Source organism: Homo sapiens, chromosome 21, assembly GCF_000001405.40.
Source record: "Homo sapiens chromosome 21, GRCh38.p14 Primary Assembly".
Taxonomy (NCBI): domain Eukaryota; kingdom Metazoa; phylum Chordata; class Mammalia; order Primates; family Hominidae; genus Homo; species Homo sapiens.
The window spans coordinates 14,091,278-14,118,873 of NC_000021.9; the positions used below are offsets into that span (position 1 = coordinate 14,091,278).

At 42.3% G+C, this 27,596-nt stretch overlaps 1 protein-coding gene and 1 pseudogene across 7 annotated transcripts in view, besides 1 other annotated feature; one reads left to right on the forward strand and one right to left on the reverse strand.

Annotated features, from left to right (window-relative positions):
• ERLEC1P1 (endoplasmic reticulum lectin 1 pseudogene 1) overlaps window positions 1–27,596 on the forward strand; it is a 65,494-nt pseudogene that overhangs the window by 12,304 nt on the left and 25,594 nt on the right.
• Window positions 17,535–27,596, reverse strand: part of LIPI (lipase I) — a 102,144-nt gene continuing 92,082 nt past the window's right edge. For 6 of the 7 annotated variants that reach the window (NM_001379566.1, NM_001302999.2, NM_001379565.1 and 3 more), the window contains one exon: window positions 17,536–17,803. In NM_001379566.1, coding sequence (NP_001366495.1) covers window positions 17,716–17,803 — 88 coding nt within the window. In that variant the 3' untranslated portion in view covers window positions 17,536–17,715. Of the gene's footprint in view, window positions 17,804–27,596 lie in introns of all 7 variants that reach the window. The other variant, NM_198996.4, reaches the window with a different exon arrangement.
• Window positions 25,113–25,262: an enhancer, noted in NCBI's record as "active region_18268". NCBI's record gives its function as "activates an Ori minimal core promoter by ATAC-STARR-seq in GM12878 lymphoblastoid cells {active_cell/tissue: GM12878}" and the evidence as "EXISTENCE:reporter gene assay evidence [ECO:0000049][PMID:35858748]".

Here is a 27,596-nt window from a genome sequence, read left to right on the forward strand (position 1 = left end):
GTGCACTCTAACACTTGACTGAAAAACAAAATCTTAGATCTATCTTCCATGTAAAAGCATCTATCTAAAATGCAAATCTTACTTTGATAATCTCCAGCTTAATAGCTTAGATGGCTCCCAGGCATCCCCAAAACCATCTCTCAATTCACTGATCAAAAAAATAAAACTTAAAAATTTTAAAACTAAAAAAAATTGAACATTTCATTGGTCAAAAAACAAACAAAAAAAAGATCTCTGAGCATGCCTCAGTCACACCCTGCCCTGCTGTGCACCCCTCTCCAAACCCCAGCCTACAGGGACCACCCAATAACCTCTTCTTTGCTACATAACCCTTACCCTCCTTCCTCAAGACTCATATATTCTCCTTAGAAACTTGCCCCCCACTTCCTGGAAACAGTAGATTCTTTTTTGCTTATGGTTTTTGTAATGACATCAGCCATTTAGAACTCATGATGTGCCCAGGCCCCACTATCTGCCTTTCCACAGATCTTGCTCAGACAATCCATCAGGATTTAGTCACAGATCCAAAGTAAGGAGCCAGAGGGGAGCTTCAGGCTTGGTCTCTTTGGGTTGAAGCTAGAAAACTAATCTATGCTGAACACAAAAAAGAAGCTGAGTAATAGCCAACCTACACATCCTAGGAATAACTATTGTTTTTTTTGCCCCCAGCCAGTCTCTCCGCAGTCCTCTCTCCTTCTTTACATTTCTTTTAAACACAGTATGTTAACACAACACTGTGTAAGAACTGGGATTCAGAAAACCAAGATATAGGTCTCCACCAGCTATGCTATTGTGTCCAGAATTGATGGGTTCTTGGTCTCACTGACTTCAAGAATGAAGCGGTGGACACTCTCAGTGAGTGTTACAGTTCTTAAGGTGGGGCATCTGGAGTTGTTTGTTCCTCCCATCTGGAGTTGTTCATTCCTCCTGGTGGGTTCATGGTCTCGCTGGCCTCAGGAGAGAAGCTGCAGACCTTCGCGGTGAGTGTTACAGCTCATAGAGACGGTGTGGACCCAAAGAGTGAGCAGCAGCAAGATTTATTGCAAAGACCGAAAGAACAAAGCTTCCACGGTGTGGAAGGGGACCCCAGCGGGTTGCCACTGCTGGCTCGGGCAGCCTGCTTTTATTCTCTTATCCGGCCCCACCCACATGCTGCTGATTGGTCCATTTTACAAAGGGCCAATTGGTCTGTTTTACGGAGAGCTGATTGGTCCATTTTGACACGGTGCTGACTGGTGCATTTACAATCCCTGAGCTAGACACAAAATTCTCCACTTCCCCACTAGATTAGCTAGATACAGAGTGTTGATTGGTGTATTTACAAACCCTGAGCTAGACACAGAGTGCTGATTGGTGCATTTACAAACCTTGAGCTGGATACAGAGTGCCAATTGGTGCATTCACAATCCCTTAGCTAGACATAAAGATTCTCCAAGTCCCCACCAGATTAACTAGATACAGAATGCCAATTGGTGAATTCACACTGAGCTAGACACAGGGTGCTGATTGGTGTATTTACAAACCTTGAGCTAGATACAGAGTGCTGATTGGTGTATTTACAATCCCTTAGCTAGACATAAAGGTTCCCCAAGTCCCCACTAGACTCAGGAGCCCAGCTGGCTTCACCCAGTGGATCTCGCACAGGGGCCACAGGTGGAGCTGCCTGCCAGTCCCTTGCCATGCACCCGCCCGCACTCCTCAGCCCTTGGGCTGTTGACGGGACCAGGTGCCATGGAGCAGGGGGTGGCACTCGTTGGGGAGGCTCAGGCCACACAGGAGCCCATGGCGCAGTGGGGGAGACTCAGGCATGGCAGGCTGCAGGTCCCAAGCCCCGCCCCACAGGGAGGCAGCTAAGGTCCGGGGAGAAATTGAGCACAGCACCAGTGGGCCGGCATTGCTGGGGGACCCGGTGCACCCTCCACAGCTGCTGGCCCTTGTGCTAAGCATATCACTGCCCGGGGCCAGCCAGGCCAGCGGCTGCTCTGAGTGTGGGGCCTGCCTAGCCCACACCCCCCTGGAACTCTCACTGGCCCACAAGTGCCTTGCACAGCCCTGGTTCCCGCCCGTGCCTCTCCCTCCACACCTCTCCGCAAGCTGAGGGAGCCAGTGCCATCCTCGGCCAGCCAAGAAAGGGGCTCCCACAGTGCAGCAGCAGGCTGAAGCGCTCCTCAAGCGTGGCCAGAGTAGGCGCCGAGGCTGAGGAGGCACCGAGAGTGAGCCAGGGCTGCGAGGGCTGCCAGCACACTGTCACCTTTCACTATGAGTTAGCCATGAAAACTCTCTGGGCCTCATTGACTAAATCTGTAAAATCTGACTTTATGAGGATTATATTCATTGAACTCTGAGGTCCTGTCCATTTCTTACACCCTGATTCAAAGACTGCATATAACCTCTAACCCAGATGTTCTTAACTAGGCTTCTTGTATGTCTGGGAAGATGATGAAAGAACTTCAAGGGGATCATGAGCTCTTTAACTTCTATGTAAAATCCAAGGCTGGGCATGGTGGCTCACGCCTGTAATCCCAGCACTTTGGGAGGCCATGACAGGTGGATTACCTGAGCTCAGGAGTTCAAGACCAGCCTGGGCAACGTGGTGAAACCCCATCTCTATTAAAATACAAAATAATCAGCCAAGTGTGGTGGCGCGTGCCTGTAGTCCCAGCTACTCAGGAGGTTGAGACATGAGAATTGCTTGAATCCTGGAGGCAGAGGAAGTTGCAGTGAGCTGAGATTGTGCCACTGCCCTCCAGCCTGGGAGACAAGGAGAAACTCTGTCTGAATAAATAAATAAATAAATAAATAAATAAATAAATTAATTAATTAATTTAATTCTGTGTAAAATCCTGTGTGAGCTGGCTGCATCACCTTGCCCCACAGAGGGGGTTTTCTTATCTTTTTTTCTCTCTTCCAAGGTAATGATAGTCTATGGTTGCCCTACTATGTACTCTCTTTTTATTATTTTATTTATTATTTTATTTTTTTAGAGACAGGGTCTCACTCTGTTATCCAGACTGGAGTGCAGTGGCATGATTATAGCTCACTGCAGCCTTGGTCTCCTGGGTTCAAGCAGTCATCGCACCTCAGCCTCCTGAGTAGCTAGGATCACAGGCACACCCCACCATGCCCAGCTAATTAAAAAAATATTTTTTTTTTAGGCTGGGCACGGTGGTTCACGCCTTGAATCCCAGAACTTTGAGAGACCAATGCAGGAGGATTGATTGAGTCCAGGAGTTCAAGAACCTGAGAAATACAGAGACCCCATTTCTACCATGAAAAAAATAAAAACATTAGCTGGGCCCAGTGGCATTCACCTGTATTGCCAGCCACTTGTGAGGCTGAGGCAGAGGATTGCTTGAACCCAGGAGTGCAAGGCTGCATTGAGCTATAATTGTGCCACTGCACTCAGCCTGGGTGACACGGCAAGACCCTGTCTTAAAAAAAAAAAAAAAAAAAAAAGAAAGAAAGAAAGAAAAAGACTACAGGTAAGAAAGTACTTGGATAACAGTAAAAAAGTTAAACACATGACATTGGACCTTATGAAATGTGTTTACCCTAGAGCTGTTTATTGTATGATAGGTCCCTCCTAGATAGTATTCAAGGTTTAATGCAGAAACAGAGCAAGACTCTGTTTCAAAAATAAAATAAAATAAAATAGCTGGCCATGGTGGCTTGCACCTATAGTACCAGCTGCTCAGGAGGCTGAGGCAGGAGGATCTCTTGAGCCCAGAGAGTTAGGGGCTACAGTGAGCTATGATCACGCCACTGCACTCCAGCCTGGGTGACAGAGCAAGACCCTGTCTCTAAAAAAATAAATAAAAGTAAATAAAAAGGAACCCTGGGCTCCACATTAGAGATTCAAATTCATTTGCTTTAGCACGGGGTCATGGAATCTGTCCCAGCATCCTAAAAGCTGCCTCAGTGAGTTAACAAAAGGGCTGGTATTGAAAGAACTGTCAACAAGCTGTGACAAAAAGAAGCCTCCTCTGTGAGGCAGGGAAGTGGGGCCAAACAACAGGGGGTTTTTTTGTTTGTTTTTTGCTTTTTTTTTTTTTTTGTGGAGGAGGAGAGGAGCTGATTTAGGACAGCTAAAATGGTTGTGAGAGAGTACAAGAATCTAGGGAAGTTTGAGACCGTGAAACTGTGGCAGCCTCAGCAGGTGCTTCTGTGGGCTTTCTCCAGCTCTCAGCAGGGTGGAGTCAGGAGCAGAGAAGGCAGTTGGTGGGATGACCCGAAGTTGGGGTTTCATCAGAGAGGAGGAGCAGGAGGACAGGGTGTAAGGCAGATCAAGGAGTGTTACTAAGGGGCTCAGGTCCTAGACAGTGGGCCTAGCAGGTAGGCAGTGAGGGTCGTGAAGGATGGGGTAGATGCATGACAAGAGGCCCTGAAAACCAGGGGAATTTGGCAACAACAGAGCCCTGGCAGTCCCAGGAGGGGAGCAGGTCTAACAGGAACACCCTTGCACCTGTGCAGGAGAGCAGCAAGGCTAGGAGGCTGCAGACAGACAGTGGATAACTGAAAGGTGAACTTTCTGCTGGACAGCAGATCCCTGGATGCCATCCCGATGGAGATCTAAGATGAAAAATACTCCGCCATGAAAATGCCTTACATGGTCCTAACCATGAAGCATAAAATTGCCTTTTCACCTGAAAATGACCTGCAGCTTCATTTACCATTTTATGTTTTGGATGTCATGTAACATCCAGAAGCAATACCCTCCTCCATTGCAAGTCAAAGTAAAATCAGAAAATGCTCAGTGGAAAGGAAAAAAACAAAACAAAACAAAAAAACAAAAACAAGCAAACGAACAAAAAAACCAGAAGGCAAAAAACCAGCAATAGAATAAAGCTGCAAACCCAAAGCACCAGGAGAGGAAAGGGAAAAAAACCTGCAGCATACACAAGCTTTGACATTGTGTGATCTGTGAAAATGTATAGAAATGTTACCTTACCCAAAAATTCCCAAGGTGCTTTATTTGCCCACCACTGGAAGGAAGTAGAAATTCCCACGCAGGTTGTTACTTTTAATTTTCATCCTCTTTATGTTGTTTCCTAAAATAACAACAGGTATTCTAGAGATGATTTACCAAGATGGCTTAATGAGGTGTCAGATGAGTACTCATTCCCACAAGCCCCTTTACCTCAGGCCTCCTTATACAAATTTGACTGACTCTTCTGAGCCCGACTAGATAAAAAAACAGACATAATTGGAGCAGCTGGGCTGGAAGCACAGCTGGGCCATCCCCATGGAGACAAGATTCTAGCACCACGTGCTCTTCCTTCCCCAGCGTTTCTCCTCACTCTTGCTTTTCAGAGCAGCAGCCCACCCAAACCTGGGTCTTCCTCAGATGATCTCCACATCAGTGCTTATCAGCATTCATGTGCACACAGATCACCTGTGCAACTTGTGAAAATGCAGATTCAGACTTAATGGCTGGGGTGGTGCCTCTGGATCTATGTGTCTAACAAGCCCCATGGTGGTGCACGTGGTCATCAGATGGTCCTAGTTCCACACTCGGACGAGATATTTAGAGCCTGTAAAATAGCTACTCCCCTATCCAGTGTTTGAGTCCCAGACTTCTGGATTATGCTAGCACTCAGATGCTTCTGGGACAGGACGCTTCCTGTTCATCTTGGGTCAACACGTCAGAGAGACCTTCCTGTATTGAGCTGAGATCTGCCTACGTAGGGCTCACCTTCACCTGGCCTACTTCTGGGCCTTGGATTCTACGTAGCAGGCTTAAGGCCTTAGAAAGTGGCTGGCATGTCCCCCAGGTATTTTCTTCAGGCAAAACCTGCCAGGTCCTCTGGCTATTATTTTTTAATTTTTTTTAGAGACAGGGTCTCACCATGTTGCCATGCTGGTCTCAAACTCCTGGGCTTAAGTGATCCTCCTGCCTCAGGCTCCCAAAATACTGAAATTACAGGCATAAGCCACCATAACTGGTCTTGGCTATTCTTCTTATGCTATAGTTTGGTTATTCTGGTCATTTCCTTCTTTTTTATTTTTATTTTTATTTTTTTTTTAGATGGAGTCTCACTCTTGTCACCCAGGCTGGAGCGCAATGGCATGATCTCAACTCACTGCAACCACTGCCTCCCAGGTTCAAGCAATTCCCCTGCCTCAGCCTCCCAAGTAGCTGGGATTGCAGGTGCCCACCACCATGCCCAGCTAATTTTTGTATTTTTGGTAGAGATGGGGATTCACCATGTTGACCAGGCTGGTCTCGAACTTCTGATTTCAGGCGATCCACCTGCCTTAGCCTCCCAAAGTGCTGGGATTACAGGCATGAGCCACCACACCTGGGCCTAGTCATTTCCTTCTGGATCCTGCTCTGTGTGTCTTTAGGCCTCTCCTCTTGTGATATCCATGCTGCAAAAATTAGCTTGGGACTGTCACCACCTCATTACAGATAGACTTCATGTGACTCGTGTTGTACTTGCTGTCAGCCATCATCCTTAAAGTCATTTTTACACATGCTGTGGATCAGCCACATTTCTTCCTAGTCAGTAATAATTATAATTATACTTAACACTTATGAGACTTAGTATAGCAAGATGGTTAAGAACATAGGCTCTGGAATGAGACTGCTTAGTGGGAAGCACTATGATTGGCACCATGTGTTATCTATCACCATCACCATCATCATCATCCATCACCATCACTATCACCACCATCATCATCAACATCACCATCACTATCACCACCATCATCACCATCACCATCACTATCACCACCATCATCATCACCATCACCATCATCACATCACCATCAACACTATCATCACCACCATCACCATCACCATCATCACATCACCATCAACACTATCACCACCATCACCATCACTGTCACTACCATTATTACCATCACCATCATTACCATCGCTATCACCATCATACCACCATCACCATCATCACCATCACTATCACCACCATCACCAATCATCACCATCACTATCACCACCATCACCACCATCACCATAATCATCAGCACCATCACCATCACCCATCACCATCACCACCATCACTATCACCACCATCATCTTCACCACCACCATCATCATACCATCACCATTATCATTGCCACCACCACCATCATCAGCATCACCATCACATCATCATCACCATGTTAAGTAAGCACTTTGCCTATGTTAACTGATTTAATTCTCGTAACAACTTCATAATGTAGGGGCAATTATTATCCCAGTTTTACAAGTGAGAAAGTGGGACCTCATAAGATTATGTTTTGTGCCGAGGGTAACAGTGACAAGAATCTAAACCTGGGCAGGGTCCTTTGGTTGGTTTTGTTTGTTATGTTGTTGACCAACGTGCAAGACCATATCTGCTCCTGCTATTCATAAATTTCATCTTTTAGTCAGCACTTTATCCTTATTTTACACTATCTTTTGGATTCCTGGTTCTGTCATCCCAAGTGTATCTGCCTCCTAGCTTCATGCTGTCTGTCATATTGTGAGAAAAATATGTATCTTCACCTAGATCATGCACAAGGTCAGAGGCCATGCAGCAATTCCCTACAGATTCTGCTCACTGAAGCCCGATGGTGCACATCTCCTGAAGCTCCCTGAGCCTGTAGTCTTGTAACCCACTCAGAGAAGCCTAGGGAGTGGTCGGACATGATTTGTTTTTGAACATATTTGTATTTGGTTCCTGAGAATCACGTTTCCTCCTCACTTTCAGGTTTCCATTCCAGAATCTTTTCCAAGATGGACAGCTCCCTCCAAATTTATAGTTGCTGAAATCAATTCTCTGGGCAGGGTCAGATGCAAGGAACAAATAGAAAACAGGGCCTGCAGAACACACATCCCAGAGGTGATAATGACCGGTTAATCCCTGCAGATAGTTAGATCTAGGAGACTGTCCCTGAGCTTCAGGGCTCCCTGCCTCTGAATCCAGCAGTGCAAATGCAAGCCTCTATGTTCCCCCTAAACCATAGGTGGCTGAGGAGCCATGGTGTTGCCAGCATTTCTATAAAGGAGGAGCGCAGGGCAGCAATCTCATCAGAAGGGAGGCTGGGGCTGGCCTTGAATTTAGATTGTATGTATATTTGGGGCAATTTGCAAGGAAGGGGTGCCCTGATAGAGATTTTGTGGGCTAAATCCCCCACATAAAGCTATTTTGTGCCACTGCTCCTGTGCCAACTCACCAGAAAAGCTGGACTGATTTCTCCCCTCTCTCCTTTCCTGGTTCTGTTCTCTGACCCTGGGTGATTAATGTAACCTAGCTATGTTCAATTACCCATCCTTTTCATGATGTCGGGATGTCTGCCACCTGTCCCTGGTGCTCTTCTTGGCTTCCTGTGAGCTGTGACAATGGGAGACTTGTGGCTTTTGGAGGAGAGCAGGAGGCCCTGGGTCTGCCATCAGTCTGGTCTCCCTAATCACATGATTATCACTGGAGCCTTCCCGAGCTGGGAAGTTGCAAAACAAACATGCAGGGAACATTCTTCCACCCCAGTACGTTCCCCTCATGAAATCATCAAGCAAACCCTGCATGCTTTCTCTTGGTGTGGTCAGGCAGAAGGGGTGTCTCTCTCATACTAGAGCAGTCAATGGCCATTGGCTGACTGAGACTAACAGCAGATCTAGAAGGATTTGGAGAATGCTGTCTTGGTTCTCTTAGAACAGCATGTGGCCCTAGTAGTGTGCCTGTTTTGGGGACAGTGGAGCCCCTGCAAGTCATGAAAACTGATGGGGCAGGGAGGGGAGCTCCAGCCAGAAATGGGAAGTGTCTCAAACCTTAGTGAAGTGATCTTGAATCTGATTTACAGGGCTGATTTTGACACATTATTCTCAAGAAAACAGTGGTTTAGGTCATGGTCTCAAGCTCTATCTAGATTGAAATTCTGTCAGGCATGTTAGCTCACATTTGTAATCCAAGCACTTTGGGAGGCAAAGGTGGGAGGATCGCTTGAGCTCAGAAGTTTGAGACCAGTCTGAGCAACATAGTGAGATACCATCTCTACAAAAAATTCAAAAATTAGCTGGGCATGGTGGCACACACCTGTAATTCCAGCTACTGAGGAGGCTGAGGCAGAAGGATCACTTGATCCCAGGAGGTTGAGGTTGTGATGAGCTGTGATCATGCCACAGCACTCCAGCCTGGGCAACAGAGCAAGACCCTGCCTCAAAAAAAAAAAAAAAACAATCTTTACCAGCTCTGTGATCTAGCACAATTTATTTGAGTTTTGCAGGCCTCATCCAAAGATAATAATTGGACTTACCTTATTTGTTGTGACAACTAAATAAAAAATAATACATGAAAAGTGCTTAGAACAGTTCCTGGCACTTAGTAAGAGCTTTGTAAGTATTAACTAATATTAGTACCATCATCATCTTTATTGCCACTATCTACTGAGTATTTAATATGTACCAGACATGTCTAAGCACATATAGTACATGCATTATTAGCTCATTGAACTTCACTTCATTTTTTTGGGGGGGGGGGTAGGGCGGGGTTTGTTGTTTTTTGTGACAGAATCTCACTCTGTCACCCAGGTGGCAGTGCAGTGGTGTGATCTCGGCTCACTGCAACCTCTGCCCCCCAGGTTTAAGCAATTCTCCTGCTTCAGCATCCCAAGTAGCTGGGACTACAGGCATGTGCCACCACACCCGGCTAATTTTTGTATTTTTAGTAGAGACAGGGTTTCACCATGTTGGCCAGGCTGGTCTTGAACTCCTGACCTCAAGTGATATGCCCACCTTGACCTTCCAAAGTGCTGAGATTACAGGCATGAACCACTGTGCCTTGCTGAACTACACTTTGAAGTAAGGGTTAACCCTGTGCTTCAGTTGAGGAAACTAAAAATGGGAGAGTTCAGTACAAAGTTAAACCAGCAAGTAATTGAAGTCGAAATCTAGAATCAAGGGTTTTTTGTTTATTTTTTATTTTGGAGACAGGGCCTTGCCATGTCGCCCAGGTTGGAGCATGGTGGTGCAATCACAGCTCACTTTAGCTTCAACCTCCTGGGCTCAAGCGATCCTCCCACCTCAGCCTACTGAGTAGCTGGGATCACAGGCATGCACCACCACACCTGGCTAATTTTTGTATTTTTTGTAGAGACAGGGTTTCATTATGTTGTCCTGGCTGGTCTTGAACTGCTGGGTTCAAGCAATCCACCATCCACCTTGGCCTCCCAAAGTGCTGGGATTACAGGTGTGAGCCACTGCATCCAGCCTGGAATCGAGTTTTCCTAACTCCGGAGTTACACTGTTATTGCCCTCTGCTACTGTCCGTAGTAACAGCCATATTACTGAGTACTTCCCACTCGCTGAGTAGGGTGCTGAGCACTTTACATGCCTTATTTCATTTAATGTTCACAATAATCCTATGAGGTAGATTCTTTTGTTATTCCCATTTTACAGATGAGGTAACCAAGGATCAGAGAAGCTAAGCAGCCTCCACAGATTTATATGGCAAAGAAAGTCAGCATTTAAATCCAGGCCTTCCTGACTCTAAAATCTGTTCTATTGAGTTTGACTGCCAAACAGGTGAGCAGAATGCTCCTAGGAGGTTGGTAACAGTGGTTGGTGATCCATAATGTCTGGGATCCACTGAAACTCCGGGATACAGTTTGCCTAATCAGCCCTATTTTCTGAGCTATTGTTAGGGACAATTTTCACTTTCTCTGATGCTTCATTTCCCTGCAGCTTCTGAAAGCTGTTGATTTGCTCAGAATAAGACCATGTTCTGTGCCTTTCGCATCTCAGATTGTTGTGTACATGCTCAAGAGTATAGAGGAATCATAAACATTCCAGAAGGAGGCCCTGGTGTACTATGCGAAGTTTTTGCCACATAGCTATGGGAGGAATCTGTGTTTCTTGACCAAACACTTGAGGTTATGGGACTGCAAGATTCCAAATGTGCATTTCAACAGGTCGTGATGGGGCAACTTGTTTTGTGACATATAGCACTATAAGTAGAATACATTCTATAGACAAGGGATTCTTAGCCAGGCATGCATGGTGGGGCTTCAGAGGCTCTGGGAACATTCTGTATGTGTGTGTGCATTTTACTGGAGAGAGAGCTCCTAACTTTTGTAATATTCTCAAAGGAGTTCATGACTCAAAAAAATTATTTACAAACCATTGTTCTCCGGCCAGGCGCGTTGGCTCATGCCTGTAATCCCAGCACTTTGGGAGGCCAAGAAGGGCCGTTCACCTGAGACCAGCCTGGCCAAAATGGTGAAACCCTGTCTCTACTAAAAATACAATCAGCTGGGTGTGGTGGCGCATGCCTGTAATCCCAGCTACTCGGGGGGCTGAGGCAGGAGAATAGCTGGAACCCGGGAGGTTGAGGTTGCAGTGAGCAGAGATTGCGCCATTACACTCCAGCTTGGGCAGCTGAGCAAGACTCCATCTCAAAAAAAGAAAAAAAAAGAAGGGCTCCCATCTGCTTTTGCAGAATCAGAGAATGTGATCACTGCAACGGTTGAGGGGAGGGCGCAGGGGAAGGAAGGGGGAGGGCCAAAGGCTGGAGGGACAATAGCTCACCCTGGAATATTTTCAAGTTTAGTGGGGACGACTCTGGAAACAAGCTGACTCTGAAAATGACACAGAATTTACAGTGTTATTGCTTCTTTGAAAGGTGGGCGGTCCGTGGTTTTTCCTCAGCATTCATTCATATACTTCTAGGAAGTGCCATTTAGTTTCATACAGTTTACATATACCTGGTTTTGCTGCATCTGGAGAGATTCAGGATAGTTCTTGTTAATGAGAAGTCATAGGGTGAAGCTATAATGCACTATCCATTGTGAACCCTGATAACTTGAGATAGGTCTCAGTGAATTTAGAAAGTTTATCTGGCCAAGATTGAGGACGCACACCCGTGACACAGCCTCAGTAAGTTCTGAGGACGTGTGCCCAAGGTCATCAGAGCAGTTTGGTTTTATACATTCTAGGAATACAGAAGACATCAATCAATGTGTACAAGATTAACATTGGGTCAGTCTGCAAAGGCGGGACAACTTGAAGCAAAGGCGGGAATTCTCAAAGCAAGGAGGGCACTTCTGGGACATAGGTAGTTGAGAGACAAATGGTTGCATTCTTTTGAGTTTCTGATTACCCTTCCCAAAGGAGGAAATTAAATATGCATTTATCTCTGTGAGCAGAGGAGTGACTTTGAATAGAATGGGAGGCAGGATGGCCCTAAGCAGTTCCCAGCTTGACTTTTCCCTTTAGCTTAGTGATTTGGAGCCCCAAGATTTATTTTTCTTTTACACAATTTTTAAAACCCAGGTAGAAGTAGCCATGCTTGTTAAAGAAACAAAGGAAGAAAGAAAAGCAAATGATAGGCTGGGCATGGTGTCTCACGCCTGTAATCTCAGCAATTTGGGAGGCTGAGGTGGGTGGATCACCAGAGGTCAGGAGTTTGAAAACAGCCTGGTCAATATGGTGAAACCCCATCTCTTTTACAAACACAAAATTAGGCAGGTGTGGTGGAGGGCTCCTGTAATCCCAGCTACTCTGGAGGATGAGGCAGGAGAATCACTGGAAGCCAGGAGGCAGAGGCTGCAGTGAGCCAAGATCGCACCACTGCACTCCAGCCTGGGCAAAAAAAGTGAACCTCTGTCTAAATAAATAAAGAGGTAAATAAATAAATACAATTATTTTAATCTGCTTGTTAAAGGTATCTGATAGAATTTTGAATTTTTTTTGTTATTTTGAATTTCTTTGTTTCTCTAATACAGCTATTTAGAATTCTCTTTCAGAAAAATGACACATTTTTGTTTCTCCAGGATTGGTCCCTGGCTCCTTTTTTAGTTTGTTTGATTAAGTATTTCTTTTAATGATTTGTTGATGCCAGTAGATCTTTGTGGGTGTCTCACCATTGAAGATTTTAATATTTATTGTAGTCAACACTGCCTGGGTTTGTTTGTAGCCATTGTTCCTAGGAAGGCTTTAGAGATATTCAAAACGACTTGGGTGTTGTGATCTAAGCTCTTTCTACTTTATGGGACATCTCAAGCCCAGTAACACTGTGGTTCTTGCAGGCTCACAGAGGTACTACCTTGATGGTCTTGGACAACATGGTCTTGCAGAATTTTCTGAATTATCTGGCAGGGACTCTTCTTCTTTTACTTTCTCCCAAACAAATGGAGTCTGTGTGTGTGTTTATCTGTGTGTGTGTGTTCTGAGACACATGAAAGTGAAGTGGAGTGACCCAAACATCTCTGTGGCCATGACCACTATGACTGCACTGGGTCAGACCTGAATCCAGCAGAGTGCTTGATCTCACCCAAGGCCTGCCATCACAGCTTCCTGGTTACTGTGTGATACCCAACCTTGTTTTAACCTGAATTGACTTTCCCTTAGCTGAGAGAGCCAGACAGACTCCATCTTGGCTCCTTCACTTACAGCCCCTTACCCACCCCCTTCCTCAAGGACTTAACTTGTGCAAGCAGTCTCCCAGCACATCCAAGGACGCAATTAACTAATAAGATACTGTGGCAAGCTATGTCCGCAGTTCCTAGGAATTCGCCCAGTTGATAGCACCCAGAGCCCCTGTGTTTGTGTCCAGTTGATAACACCCAAAGCCCTGCGTCTATCACCTTGTAATGGATTTAAAGCCCCTGCACCTGGAACTGTTTGTTTTCCTGTAACCATTTATCCTTTTAACTTTTTGCCTGCTTTACTTCTGTAAGATTGTTTTAACTAGACTCCCCCCACCTCCCCTTTCTAAACCAAAGTACATAAGAAAATCTAACACCTTCTTTGGGGCCAAGAGAATTTTAAGTACTAGCCATCTCTTGGTCACCGGCTAATAAAGGACTCCTGAATTCATCTCAGCATGTGGCGTTTCTCTGTAACTCACTCGGTTACAACAACTGTCTATGTTCATTCAGGGCACTGTGGCTCTACAATCAGCAGGTGAAAAAGTCAGCCAGGCCTCGATTACTCCCTTCAGTTTAGCAAGTTTCTTTAGGCCCTAGGTTGGTTCAGAGGTGCTATTCAGGAGTCAGGGACTAAAATAAAAAACTTCAGAAAGCTAAGGTTTTGGCAGTGAGAGTTTGGCAGAAGAGTGTGGAATAGATCTTTAAAAAAGTGAAAGTTTCTAAATAAAGATTGAAACCTGATGGGAAAAACAATAGAGAAAAATACAAAAATTATTTTCATGCTAATGTTACTTATTTATTTATTTATTTTTGAGACAGGATCTTGCTTTATCTCCCTGGCTGGAGTGCAGTGGCCTGAGCTTAGCTCACTGCCAGCTCTGCCTCCCGGGTTCAAGTGATTCTCCCACCACAGCCTCCCTAGTAGTTGGAAATACAGGCACGTGCCATGATGTCCAGCTAATTTTTTGTATTTTTAGTAGAGATGGGGTTTTGCCATGTTGGCCAGGCTGGTCTTCAACTCTTGGCCTCAAGTGGTCAGCTCACCTCGGCCGGCCTCCCAAAGTGCTGGGATGACAGGCATGAGCCACTGCGCCCAGCCCAGTTTGTTATTTAATTACACCAGCCCTCATTTTGAAAAAAGACTAGATGCAGGGATTAACAACTAGTGCTTTGATTTTACTTGTAAAATGTATTTTCTTTTTTTTTCTTGTGGGCACCAGTAAATTAAACACTAATAAAAATATAATACAGGCCTGGCACGGTGGCTCATGCTTGTAATCCCAGCACTTTGAGAGGCCAAGGCAGATGGATCACAAGATCATGAGTTTGAGACTAGCCTGGCCAACATAGTGAAACTCCGTCTCCACTAAAAATACAAAAAAAAAAAAAAAAAAAAAAGCCAGGCATGGTGGTGGGCGCCTGTAATCCCAGCTACTCAGGAGGCTGAGGCAGGAGAACTGCTTCAACCTGGGAGGTGGAGGTAGCAGTGAGCTGAGATCGTGCCACTGCACTCCAGCCTGGGTGACAGTGTGAGACTCCATCTCAAAAAAAAAAAAAAAAAAAAAAAAAAAAAAAAAAAAATATATATATATATATATATATATATATATATATATATATATATAAAAATACATGTTTTCAGTCATGTAGTGTATGTGTGTGTATTATCTTTATATATGCTATGTATTATGTATATATTATTTATAATATATAGATAAAATATACATTATATATAGAAACAGACAAAATATACATTACACACTCACACACACACTCATTCACACACATGTGCAATGTGGTCTAAGGTATTGCAGTGTGGTAACATGTACACATTTCACAAGTTTACATCTTTGAGTTATTCTGGAAGACTGTTATCACCTCTGGCAAGGAAGGTTCATTAGGAGGTTAATGGGTTCTAATGTACATGAAACGGTTGGCTACTGCCTTGTCTGTTACCCAGAGGCCCTAAGCAATCAGGAAGACAGTAACAAAATTTCTGCTCTTGGTAACGTTTGCAGTGCATTTCATAGGTGTCATTAATATCACAAGCTGAGATTGAAAAGCTTCTGGGGATATATGAAAAATTAATGGGCATTAGAAAAGTAAAATAGCATGAGGTTGTGTGTGTGTGTGTGTGTGTGTGTGTGTGTTAAAGAATGCATGAAGATTGTGAGCAGATGCCCAAGGGGTGGAGAAGAGAGAAACAGTATCTCTGTGGATTGGAGAAAGGACTGTGGAGGGAAGGGCTGCAGTGTAAACTGAAGTAACTGTTTTAATGAAAATCTGTCAGACAGTAGAGCTACAGGCAGCACTGCTTAAATCCCTAGGGAAAAAGTAGAGTGTTTGCGTTTTTGCGTAGAACATGTATCTAATATCTGAAGCACCTTCACCTACTTCCAGGTGAGCACCAACAATGGCCCCAATTCACCTTCAAGTGGATTATTATCAAAGTACATCATTATGATACTATCAGGTCATGGCAAGTGTTATAAATTGTGTACGCACAAAAATTCATATTTTAAAACTCTAACCCCTAGTTCCTCAGAATGTGACTATACTTGGAGATAGGGCCCTTCAGTGGGTAATGAAGTCAAAATGAGACTGCTAGAGTGGGCCCTAATCTAATCTGAATGGTCCCCTTAAAAGAAGAGGAAATTTAGACATACTGAGACACCAGGGATGTGCATATACAGAGGAAAGACCATGTGAGGTTACAGCAATAGGGCAGCCATCTGCAAGGATAAAAGAAGGGCTTCATAAGCATGTTAGTCATTATCACACTGCTATAAAGAAATACCCAAGACTGGTAATTTATAAAGGAAAGAGGTTTAATTGACTCATATGAGGAGGCCTCAGGAAACTTAGAATCATGGCAGAAGGGGAAGCAGGCACCTTTTTCACAAGTGGCAGGAGACAGAAGTGTGAAGTGTGAGCACAGGAAAACTGTCACTTTTAAAACCATCAGATTGTATGAGACTCACTCACTATCACAAGAACAGTATGGGAGAAACAGCCCCCATAATGCAATCACCTCTCACCAGGTTCCTCCCTTGACACATGAGGATTACAATTCAAGATGAGATTTGGGTGGGGACATAGAGCCAAACCATGTCAATGAGAAACCAAGCCTGCTGACACCTTGACTTGGACTTCTGGCCTCCAGAATTGTGGGAAAATAAATTTGTGCTGCTTAAGCCACCTAGTTTGTGGTATTTTGTTATGGCAGCTCAAGCAAACTAATTCAACAGGCAAACAAAGGCACAAAGGCTGTGACTGTGGTTGGCAGAGTGTGTTAGAAACACACATAAATCCTTGGGGTATTCAGACACAAGTGAGAGAGAGCTCAACACTAGAAATTGCTGGACTGAACAGGGGAATTAGAGAATGCTAAGAACATTTAGATTATGATTTTGAATGTGATCATTTGTAAATCGAGTAAACAGATAACACATACTGAACTTAGGGGATTCATTCAACATAGGAGTTAAGAACAGGGACCCAGACATCTTAGTTTTGAATTCTGGTCCTGTGCATTATTCTGGACGTGTTATTTGGCCTCTATCTCTTGGCTTCTTCATCTGCAGAGATAATATGGCTAGCTGCATATGGTTTTCATAAGGATTAAATAAATTAATATGTATAAAGCATTTAAACTGTTCCAGGAACACAGTGATATACATAAGAGTTAGCTATCTTCTTATTATTGTCATTATGAACAAACACTGCTCAAAATACTTTATTAAAAGCAATTTTCACAAAAATTACTTGGGCAACTGAGATATGGTGAGGTAAATTAACTTACTCAAGATCACATCATTAATAGGTAATGGCACCAGTATTTGACCATAGGTTATTTATTGTACTCCATAGAAGCAAAGCCATTATTTACAAAGGACTAAAAAAAGATGCCAAGTAGATGATTAAATAAGTATATGTTTACTAGGTTCACATTAATACAAGTGACTTCTCCAAATGAAAATTTACAAATAAAATAGTGTGTTCATTTATTTTACTACTGAGGTAGAATGGTTCTGTTGAAAACAGTGAATTGAAGTATTCACTAAACTTGCCTATTTTTCAAAAGGCATTTATTCATTATTAATAAATAATTAAGGTAAACAGTCAATGATAAGTATTAAATTGAGGAAGCAGAAAAAGTAAACAGAAATAAACAACTTTCAGAATATATTTGGAATGTTTAACTGTATGCATTTTTTATTTTCTTTATTTTTGATTCTTAAAATTTTTTCCAAGAAATAGAAATACTTGAATCTCAAATTGAACAGTGCATTATAAAAGACTGATTGCATTGTTTCATTTACAAGTCCATTAATTCACAAGCAAGTGCATTTGATGGAAGAAGGCATCTTATGTGTTCTTTGGTGTACATGTGTTTGGATTAAGAAACACTTCCTCTCTGTCTTTAAGTACAATATTATACCTGCAAAGTGGTGGTCTGAGAAAGAGAAAAATGGAGAGAACAAAAAAATAACTATTAGTAAAACAACAGAGTTGATTTCCTTCTCTCATTAATATTAGAATAGTCCATGCCTGTAACTAGCTAGTTCTCTAAATGTAGGGAGTTGGAACAAATATATGGGATCATTTCCATTCTATCTCATTTGGCTGTGTAGGGATGAAATAGACATAATGCTTATAAGAAAGAAAAAAATCTGTTTCAACTTCTTTTCTCACTGCTTTATTGGAAAACTTAATTGTATTAGAGATACAGTTAGATACTGATACAGTTGAAACTTGAACTCAACTCAGTATCCAGGCCATTCCTTCCATCATGATGGTCACCAGAAGAGAGTCAGGGTGAATCACATAGACAAAGTTTGCCGAAGCAATTTAATCAGTCCTCTTATGCCACCTACTAAAATGGAAATAATAAATCCTAAAGTATTCTATATCTTGGACAGATTTTATATTTAATATTTCAAGCTTTCCAAGAAGCCAAGTCACTGCAGCACTGTTCACATATTTATAATAAAATAGTAAGACAAGTGTGTTTTCTTTTTTCTGCAATAGACTAAAAGCTCATGACCTTAGTAGCATAGCATTGAATTATCTTCTATTAGTGCATATATAGTAAATACATATTTTTGCAAATATCCTATATTTTACAAAGCCTCTACAAGCATCACAAAACAGCTTAGGCAGGTTCACAATGCCTATCAATGTTAAATTTTACCAAAGCCTTTGAGAAAAATTAATTTGCTGTCCTTTTACATTGTAAAAGTTCATCTAGTTATCACTGTCATGAATTTTGATATCTTTTTTATCTTATGTTTAATAGTTCCTTCTCCCAGGCAATAAAAAATAAAAACACTATAATTTTGTGATACATTTTGAATTACCAAGGGAAAAGAATATTATGTATCTATCTTTCTAATTTCAAAATGCATACTGAATTTGTACTTCTAATGCTTTGCTTACCACACATTACCAAAAATGAACACATTACATTGATAAAGTATAAGATTGATCTAAAATAATAAAAAAGAAATATAGTAATAAAAATTTTTTATGAATTCAAGTACAATCCAGTTTTCTATTTTAATCCATATATATTATACCAAAGTACAAAAAATATATAAGCTTCTTTACTTGAAAAATCTCCCTAAGGCTTTTGCTCAACCTATCACCACATCTGTCCATTTAATATTCTCTTTTTTTTGCCATTAATATAGAGGCCCCTAAATTTGACTTCATTTTTTTATTTATTTGTTTATTTTAAATTCATAAAATTCTATGTATTCATTATGTACATGGTGTTTTGAAGAATAAATACATTGTGGAATGGTTAAATATAGTTAATTAAAATACACATTACCTCATATAGTTATTTTGCAACAAAAGCATTCAACATCTACTCTGCATTTTTCAGGAATATAATATTTTGTTATTAACTGTGGTCACCATGCTGCACAATAAATCTCTTGAACTCATTCCTTCTATCTAACTGTAATTTTCTATCCTTTGACCAACATCTCCTTAACACCTTCCCCTCCCAACTGCCCAGCCTCTGGTAACCATGGTTCTACTCTCTGCTTCTATGAGATCAACTTTTTTAGATTCCACATGTGAGTGAAATCCTACAGTCTTTGTCTTTGTGTGCCTGGCTTATTATACTTAACATAATGTCCTTCAGGTTCATTCATGCTGTTGCCAATGATGGGATTTCCTTCTTTATTATGTCTGAATAGTATTCCAATTTATAGATCTCTATCTATCTATCATCTATCTCTCTCTATATATAGGTGATATATATATGCATACTATATTTTTAATATATATAGTATATACCATATACTATATATATATAATATACATATTATATTTTTCTTACAGCTTCATCCACTATTGAAATCTTAGTTTTATTTTTTATCTTGGTTATAGTGACTAATGCTGTAATTAACATGGAAGTGCAGATATCTCTTCAACATACTGATTTCATTTCCTTTGATATACACCCAGTAGTGGGATTGCTGAATCATATATTAGTTCTATTTTTAATGTTTTTAGGAATTTCCAAACTGTTTTTCCTAACAACTTTTCTAATTTACATTCTTATCAGTAGTTATCAACCATTCCCTTTTTTCCATGTTCTCACCAACATTTGTTATAACTTTTGTCTTTATGGTAATAGCCATTCTAACAGTCATGAGGTGATAGCTCATTGTGGTTTTAATTTGCGTTTCCCTCATGGTTAGTGACATTGAACACATTTTCATATACCTGTTGGCCACTTGTATGTCTTCTTTTGAAAAATGTGTTTTCAGATCCTTTGCCCAATTTTTAATTAGGTTATTTGTTTTCTTGATATTGAGTTGTTTGAGTTCCTTATATATCTTGGAGATTCACCCCTTATCATATATATACTTTGCAAATAATTTCTCCCATTCTGTAGATTGTCTCTTACCTCTGTTAATTATTTCCTTTGATGAGCATAAGCTTTTTAGTTTAATGTAATCCCATTTGTCTATTTTTGCATTTGTTGCCTGTGCTTTTGAGGTCATATCCAAAATATCATTGTCCAGACTGATGTCAAGAAGATGTTCCTTATATTTTCTTCTAGCAAGTTTATAGTTTCAAGCCTTAGATTTTAGTCTTTAGTCCATTTGGAGTTGAATTTTTTGTATAAGGTGTGACATAAAGGTCTAATTTTATTCTTTGGCATGTGACTATACAGTTTTTCCAACACCATTTATTTTCATTTTGTTTTGTTTTTTTAAAATAGATTCAGGGGGTACATGTGCAGGTTTGTTACAAGAATATATTGTGTAGTGATGAAGTTTGGGCTTCCTGTGTACCCAATCACCCGAATAGTGAATGTTGTACTCAATAGGTAATTTTTCAATTCGCATCCCTCTCCCACACTAATCTCTTTTAGAATCCTGGTATTGATTATTTCCCTCTGTATTTCCATGGTTACCCACTCCAACACTATTTATTGAAGAGACTGTCCTTTCTCCATTGTGTGCTCTTGGAACCTTTGTTGAAAATTAATTTTTAAATGGGTGAATTTATTTTATTTCTAGGCTCTCTGTTCTGTTCCATTGGTCCATGTCTCTGTTTTTATGCCAGTATTATACTACTTTGGTTACTATAGCTTTCTAATATATTTTGAAGTTATTTGGTGTGATGTCTCTAGCTTTGTTCTTTTTGCTCAAAATTGCTTTAGCTATTTAAAGTATTTTGTGGTTTCATACAAATTTTAAGGTTTTTTTTCTATTTCAATGGAGAATGTCATTGGTATTTTGATAGAGATTTCATTAAATCTGTAGATCCCTTTGGTTGTTATGGACATTTTTAACAATATTAACCCCTCCAAGCTACAAACATGGGATATCTTTCATTTATTTGTGTCTTCTTCAATTTATTTCATCAATGTTTTACAGTTTTCTGTGTAAGAATTGTTTACCTTTTTGATTAAATTTATTCCTAGGTATTTTATCATTTTATAGCTATTGTAAATACAATTGTGTTCTTATTTTTCAGATACTTTGCTATATTGCATTTTCAAAGCTATCTTTGAGAATGTTATATTAATATTTATACATATTCATGCATTTTGTTTTTAAAAATGGAATCATACTCTTATAAGACATCATGCTTTTCTCACCAGGCAATATATTATGAATCTTTTCATAAATATAAATAAGCATTTAAAATATATTAAAAAAGAAAAACTACTAATTCTTGTATATTGATTTTGTTTCCTGCAATGTAACTTATTCCTAATATTCTTTTAAAATGTTACTTGGATAAGGTTTCCAGCAATAACACAGGGAAAAGAATAGTGCCTATTTCCACCTGCCATGTGAGAAAACCCAATTCATAGTCCACTCGATAAGGCACATAGAAGGGTCTTCTCTAAGTAGTGGGAATCATTACACCTAGACTGAGCACTTATCCAAGCTAGCTTAATAAATTTTGAAAGCAGGACCTGAAAGGTTTAACCCCAGTAACATAACAGTATTTTGAGAATAGAATTTAAGAGCATTTGTAGGAATACAAAAATATAGAACATTCAATAAGATAAAATTCACAGCATCTGTGATCTAATTGAGAATTACTAAGCATTGTGAAGCTGGAAAATGGACCCATATGAGGTGAAAAATCAACCAATTGAAACTAACCCAGAACTAGCACAAATGTGAGACTCAGCAGATAAATGCATTAAAACAGTTATTATACCTTTATTTCAGATCTTCAAAAGTGAAGTGGAGACATGAGAGATATAAAGAGGTGAGAACTACGATGTTTGAGATGAATAATACACTTATGAGATTAAAAGCAGATTAGATATTGCAGAAAAAATCAGTGAACTTGATAACATAGCAACAGAAACTATTCAAAATAAAATGCAAAGAGAAAATAGAATTTTAAAATTACCAAAGCTATCATCACACTGTTGTACTATCAAATATTAGATCTTACTTCAAGTAGCCAAAAATACTTAAAATTGGAATCCTCAGAGGAGAAGTAGTAGAGGAACACAGAAAAAAAATCTCAAAAAAATAGCTGGAAATTTAGATGAAACTTGATGAAAACTATAAACCCACTGTATTAGTCTGTTCTCACACTGCTATAAAGAACTGCCCAAGACTGGGTAATTTATAAAGGAAAGAGGTGTAATTGACTCACAGTTCAGCATGGCTTGGAAGGCCTCAGGAAACTTAACAATCATGGCAGAAGGCACATCTTCACAGGGCAGAAGGAGAGAGAATGAGTGCCCAGCGAAGGGGAAGCCCCTTAAAAAACTTTCAGATCTTGGCCGGGCTCAGTGGCTCACACCTGTAATCCCAACACCTTGGGAGGCCAAGGCAGGTGGATCATGAGGTCAGCAGATTGAGACCATCCTGGCTAACATGGTGAAACCCTGTCTCTACAAAAAATTAGCCAGGCGTGGTGGCATGCACCTGTAGTCCCAGCTACTTGGGAGGGTGAGGCAGGAGAATCACTTCAACCCGGGAGGCAGAGGTTGCAGCAAGCCAAGATCATGCCACTGCACTCCAGCCTGGGCAACAGGGCAAGACTCTGTCTCAAAAAAAAAAAAAAAAGTTCTGATCTCATGGGAACTAACTATCACAGGAACAGGATGGGGGAACCACCACAATGAATCAATTATTCAATTATCTCCACCAGGTCCCTCTCATGACATGTGGGGATTATGGGAACTACAATCAGACCCACCCAAAATGGCTACAGGCCTGTTTTGAAGATTATTGTAAGACTCCAGTGGCTCTAACAAAACAAGGGACCATAGAAAAGACCCACAAAGTGCAGGCCCAGGAGAAAGAGCAGCAAGGAAAACAGGAAAAACCTGTCCTACAGGCCCTGCCAGAGGAGCTAGAGACTCCACCCCCTTATGTTCCAATTTACCCTTCTCTGGCAAGGCTTAGGCAGGAAGCCACTCCAGCAGCTGCCTCTGGAGGGTCGGACTCAGAGGAGAGTATCCCCGAAACTTCAACATGTAGGGAAGAGCCATGACCACTGCCCGATAAATCAAAGAGGAACTCCAGGATAAGGTTGGCGGTCTTTGGTCAGGACATGCCTGAGTCATGCAGATTCCCCTCAGAGAAACTAGATTTGGGTGGGGACATCGCCAAACCATGTCACCCACAGGTCCAAGAAAGCCAACAAACTTCAAAATACAAGAAGTATGAAGAAAATTACAGCATGGTACATCATAATCAAATTGCTCAAAATCAGTGACAAAGAGAAAAATCTTAAAACCAGCCAAGAAGAAAAGTAGATTATCTTTGGGGCAACAAAGAAAGGATAGCAACATATTTCTCTTTAGGTTCAGTGCATGGTAGAAGATGGCAAAACAACATCCTTAAAGAATTGATAGACCAGCCTGACCAACATGGTGGTGAAGAAGGAATTCATGAATTTTACAAGTATAATCAAAGACAACCAAGACATTTTTACTTTTTCCTTCAAAAGCTTAGTATAGCAACCTCCGCACCCCGCTCCCCACCCCCCATAGTCTAAGTTAGAGAAGAATACTAACTACCTGTTTTTCCTTCTGTGCTCAGCAAGCCTTACCTACTTGCTAATTTCATATTCCTTGAGGCTCAGCGAGTTCCTGCTTCACCTCCCTAGTGCAGCTGCAAAGTTACAAGGTTGATACAGAAACATAGTTTCCCAGGGATGTGGAACATATAGCATAAATAAATGTAAAAGACTGATCAACTGCCTTTTTTCTCGCTTCTGTAAGTAGGCTTCCTGCATCACATAGCTCCCGGCCACTGACAGCTTAAAAGGTGGCTGCTTTCTTTGTCCGGGGCTCAGACTTTTCTGGACACTAGTCCAACTGAGCCAGGTGATCACCTTTTAATAAAGACCTTTCCTGAACTCTGTTCGATCTCTCTTATCTCTGATTGCCCCACAACATTTCTGGGGGCTCATCTGGGATTGGAGATTGTAGGTTTCTGTCTCCTTTGCCTATGGGTTAGAGCCCCAGGACGTGGGAGATTTGGGACTCTTGGCACCACTGAGTAACACAGCCCAGAAGGAGAACGGTTTTCCCGTGTCTTGGAGCCTTCCCTTGACAGTGCAAACGGAACCGACTCAGGAGTTGCAGGAGAGTCACAGAGCAGTGCGCAGGCAGACTACTGAACCAAGGTAAGGTTGGTCCCTAGGGAAGCCTGTCCCATAAGGACAGAAGGGGAGCTTGATCACCTCCCAGGGAACGACCACTTATCCAACCCAGAGTAGCTGGGTGCAGCAGGAGTGGCTTGCCAATTTTGATGAACCTCGTGTCCCCACTCACACTGGAAAAAGGGAGAAAATGGGCTGGAAGAGTGGCAAGTGCAGCAAGGTAGAGCTTGCTGGCAGGGTGACAAGAGTGGTTTGCCACCCCAACTGGGAGTGTGTGGGAGTGTGTGGGTGTGTGTGAACCTACCTGGGACACAAGAGAGACTCATTTCACCTGATGAGGAGTCCTGGGGTAGGAGTGGTGTGTGTATGTGTGTGAATGTGGGAGCCTAACTAGGCTCATCTGGGACATGAGAGAGGCTCGTTTCATCTGATGAGGAGTCCTAGGGCAGGGGAGGTGTGTGACAGTGTGTGAAAGAGATGGTCTCAGGAGAGGCCAATGTGGGGAGTGATGTGGGGAGGTGCAGATCTCTTAGTGCAGACTGTGTCCTCCGAGGCGAGTGTGGGATGAGCCAGACCTAGGTCAGTGCGTAAGGCCGACAGGATTAGTTTCATAGCTTCACAGCAGTAGTTGGGTGTGACCTGGCCAAGCAGCACCCAAACCTCCTGTAATAGGACCCGGTCTGGTGAATCTGAGAGTGAAAGTGAGAGTGAAAGTGTGCTGTGAGGGAGGAAATTGGAGAAAAAGCATTGAAGCCGACTCCATTAGAATGTATGTTGAAGAACTTTAAGAAAGGCTTTGATGGTGATTATGGAATGAAGTTAAGACCGCAGAGGCTAAGAACCCTTTTTGAAATTGACTGGCCCTCTAATGTAGGGTGGCCAGCTGAGGGAACCATAGATATGGAAATAATTGGCCAAGTGTTTTGGGTGGTCACTGGGGTCAGACAACAGCCTGGGTACCCTGATCAGTTCCCATACATAGACTCCTGGCTGAACGTGATTCAGACCCGTCCAAAATGGCTACAGGCCTGCTTTGAAGATTATTGTAAGACTCTAGTGGCTCGAACAAAACAAAGAACAATAGAAAAGACCCACAAAGTGCAGGCCCAGGAGAAAGAGTAGCAAGGACAACAGGAAAAGCCTGTCCTACAGGCCCCGCCAGAGGAGCTAGAGACTCCATCCCCTTATGTTCTAATTTATCCATCTCTGGCAAGGCTTAGGCGGGAAGCCACTCCAGCAGCTGCCTCCAGAGGGTTGGACTCAGAGGAGAGTACCCCCCAAACTTCACCACATAAGGAAGAGCCAGGCCCACTGCTTGATAAATCAAAGGAGGAACTCCAGGATGAGGTTGGCCGTCCCTGGTCAGGACACACCCAAGCCATGCAGATGCCCCTCAGAGAAACTAGAGGACAGATCTATTTAGATGCACAAAATGAGGTTCAAGGAGGAGAACAGCTTTATCTTTATAAGCCCTTCTCTACTACAGACATTTTCAACTGTAAACAGCATACTCCCTCCTATACGGAAAAACCCCAGGCTCTTATTGACCTAATGCTGTCCATCTTCTTAACTCACAGCCCAACCTGGGCTGACCTGCAAGCAGCTCCTTCTGTCACTGTTCAATACAGAAGAACGCTGCAGAGTAATACAAGTGGCTAATCAGTGGCTAGAAAGCAACACCCCAGTAGGCATGGCAGATGTCAAAGAGTATGCACAACAGACTTTACCAATAGAAACTGATCCAGGCTGGGACTGAAATCAGGCCCAAGGGCTGCTAAACTTTCTGAGATACTGAGAGGCTCTGATACAAGGAATAAAGGCTGGAGGGAAAAAGGCAACAAACACTGGAAAGGTTTCAGAGGTTCATTAGAAACCAGATGAAAGCCCCAGTGAGTTCTAAGAGAGGCCTTGTGAGGCTTACTGACTCTACACACCTTTTGACCCAGAAGTGGCAGGGAATCAGTGCATGGTTAATGCAGCATTCATGAGTGAAGCACAAAATGATATTAAGCAAAAGTTGCAGAGGCTGGAGGGGTTTGAAGGTATGAACATTCCCCAGCTTATCCAGGTGGCAACCAAAGTGTTTGTAAATTGAGATGAAAAAGCAAAGTGGGAGGCCAAGCGTAGAGTGAAGGAAAAGGCAGAGTTCTTGGCCACAGCCCTGGTTGAAAGAGAGGCTGGATTTGCAAGAGGACATGAATGTGTCATGGATGTGGTCACAGTAGAGGACAAGCTAGGCCAGATCAGGAGACCAGGACAGGTCAGGAAGGTCAGCCTAGACTAGAGAGAGATCAATGTGTGAGATGCAAGCAAAGAGGGCATTGGAAAGATGAATGTCCAGAGAAAGAATAGGACAAGGGCAACAACCAGAGACAGAATGACTGGACAGAGCCCCCTTCCGTCACTGGGCAAGGCATAGTAAGATCTGACGTGGATCTAATTGGGCTGGCAGAAGCCAATGACTACCTTGAAGACTGAGACAGATCGGGCTCCATCTCATTAGGCCCCAAGGAGCCTATGGTCTCAATTGTAGTAGGGCGCTGAAAAATAGACTTTATGGTAGACACAGGTGCTGAACACTCGGTTGTGACTCAAAAAATTGGGCCGTTATCAAAAGACTATGCTAATATTATCAGAGCCACAGTTATCACAGAAAAGACACCTTTTTTCAAATGAAAGAGATGTATGACTGGAGACCGAAAAGTCCAACGTAAGTTCTTATATTTGCCAAACTGCCCAGTGCCACTATTAGGAAGAGACTTACTACAAAACTGCAGGCTCAGATCTCCTTTACACCAAGTGGAGATAGGACCTTAAGCCTAAGGCAAAGAAAGGTTATGGTATTAACACTCACAATCCCCAAAACAGATGAATGGAGACTTCATGAAAGTAGTTGCCAGGAGTATGGAAGAAGATATAGTGTGGCTGAAAGAGAAAAACTATTCACAGACTTACTTCTTAAGTTATCAGGAGTCTGGGCAGAGGACAGTCCCCCGGGGCTGGTAGTGAATCAAGCACCTGTCATAGTAGAACTACTACAAGGAACCTACCTGGTGCAGATCTGTCAGTATCCCATTCCCACAGAGGTTAACCAAGGGATTGCAAAACACTTAAAATGGCTCCTTGAATTTGGA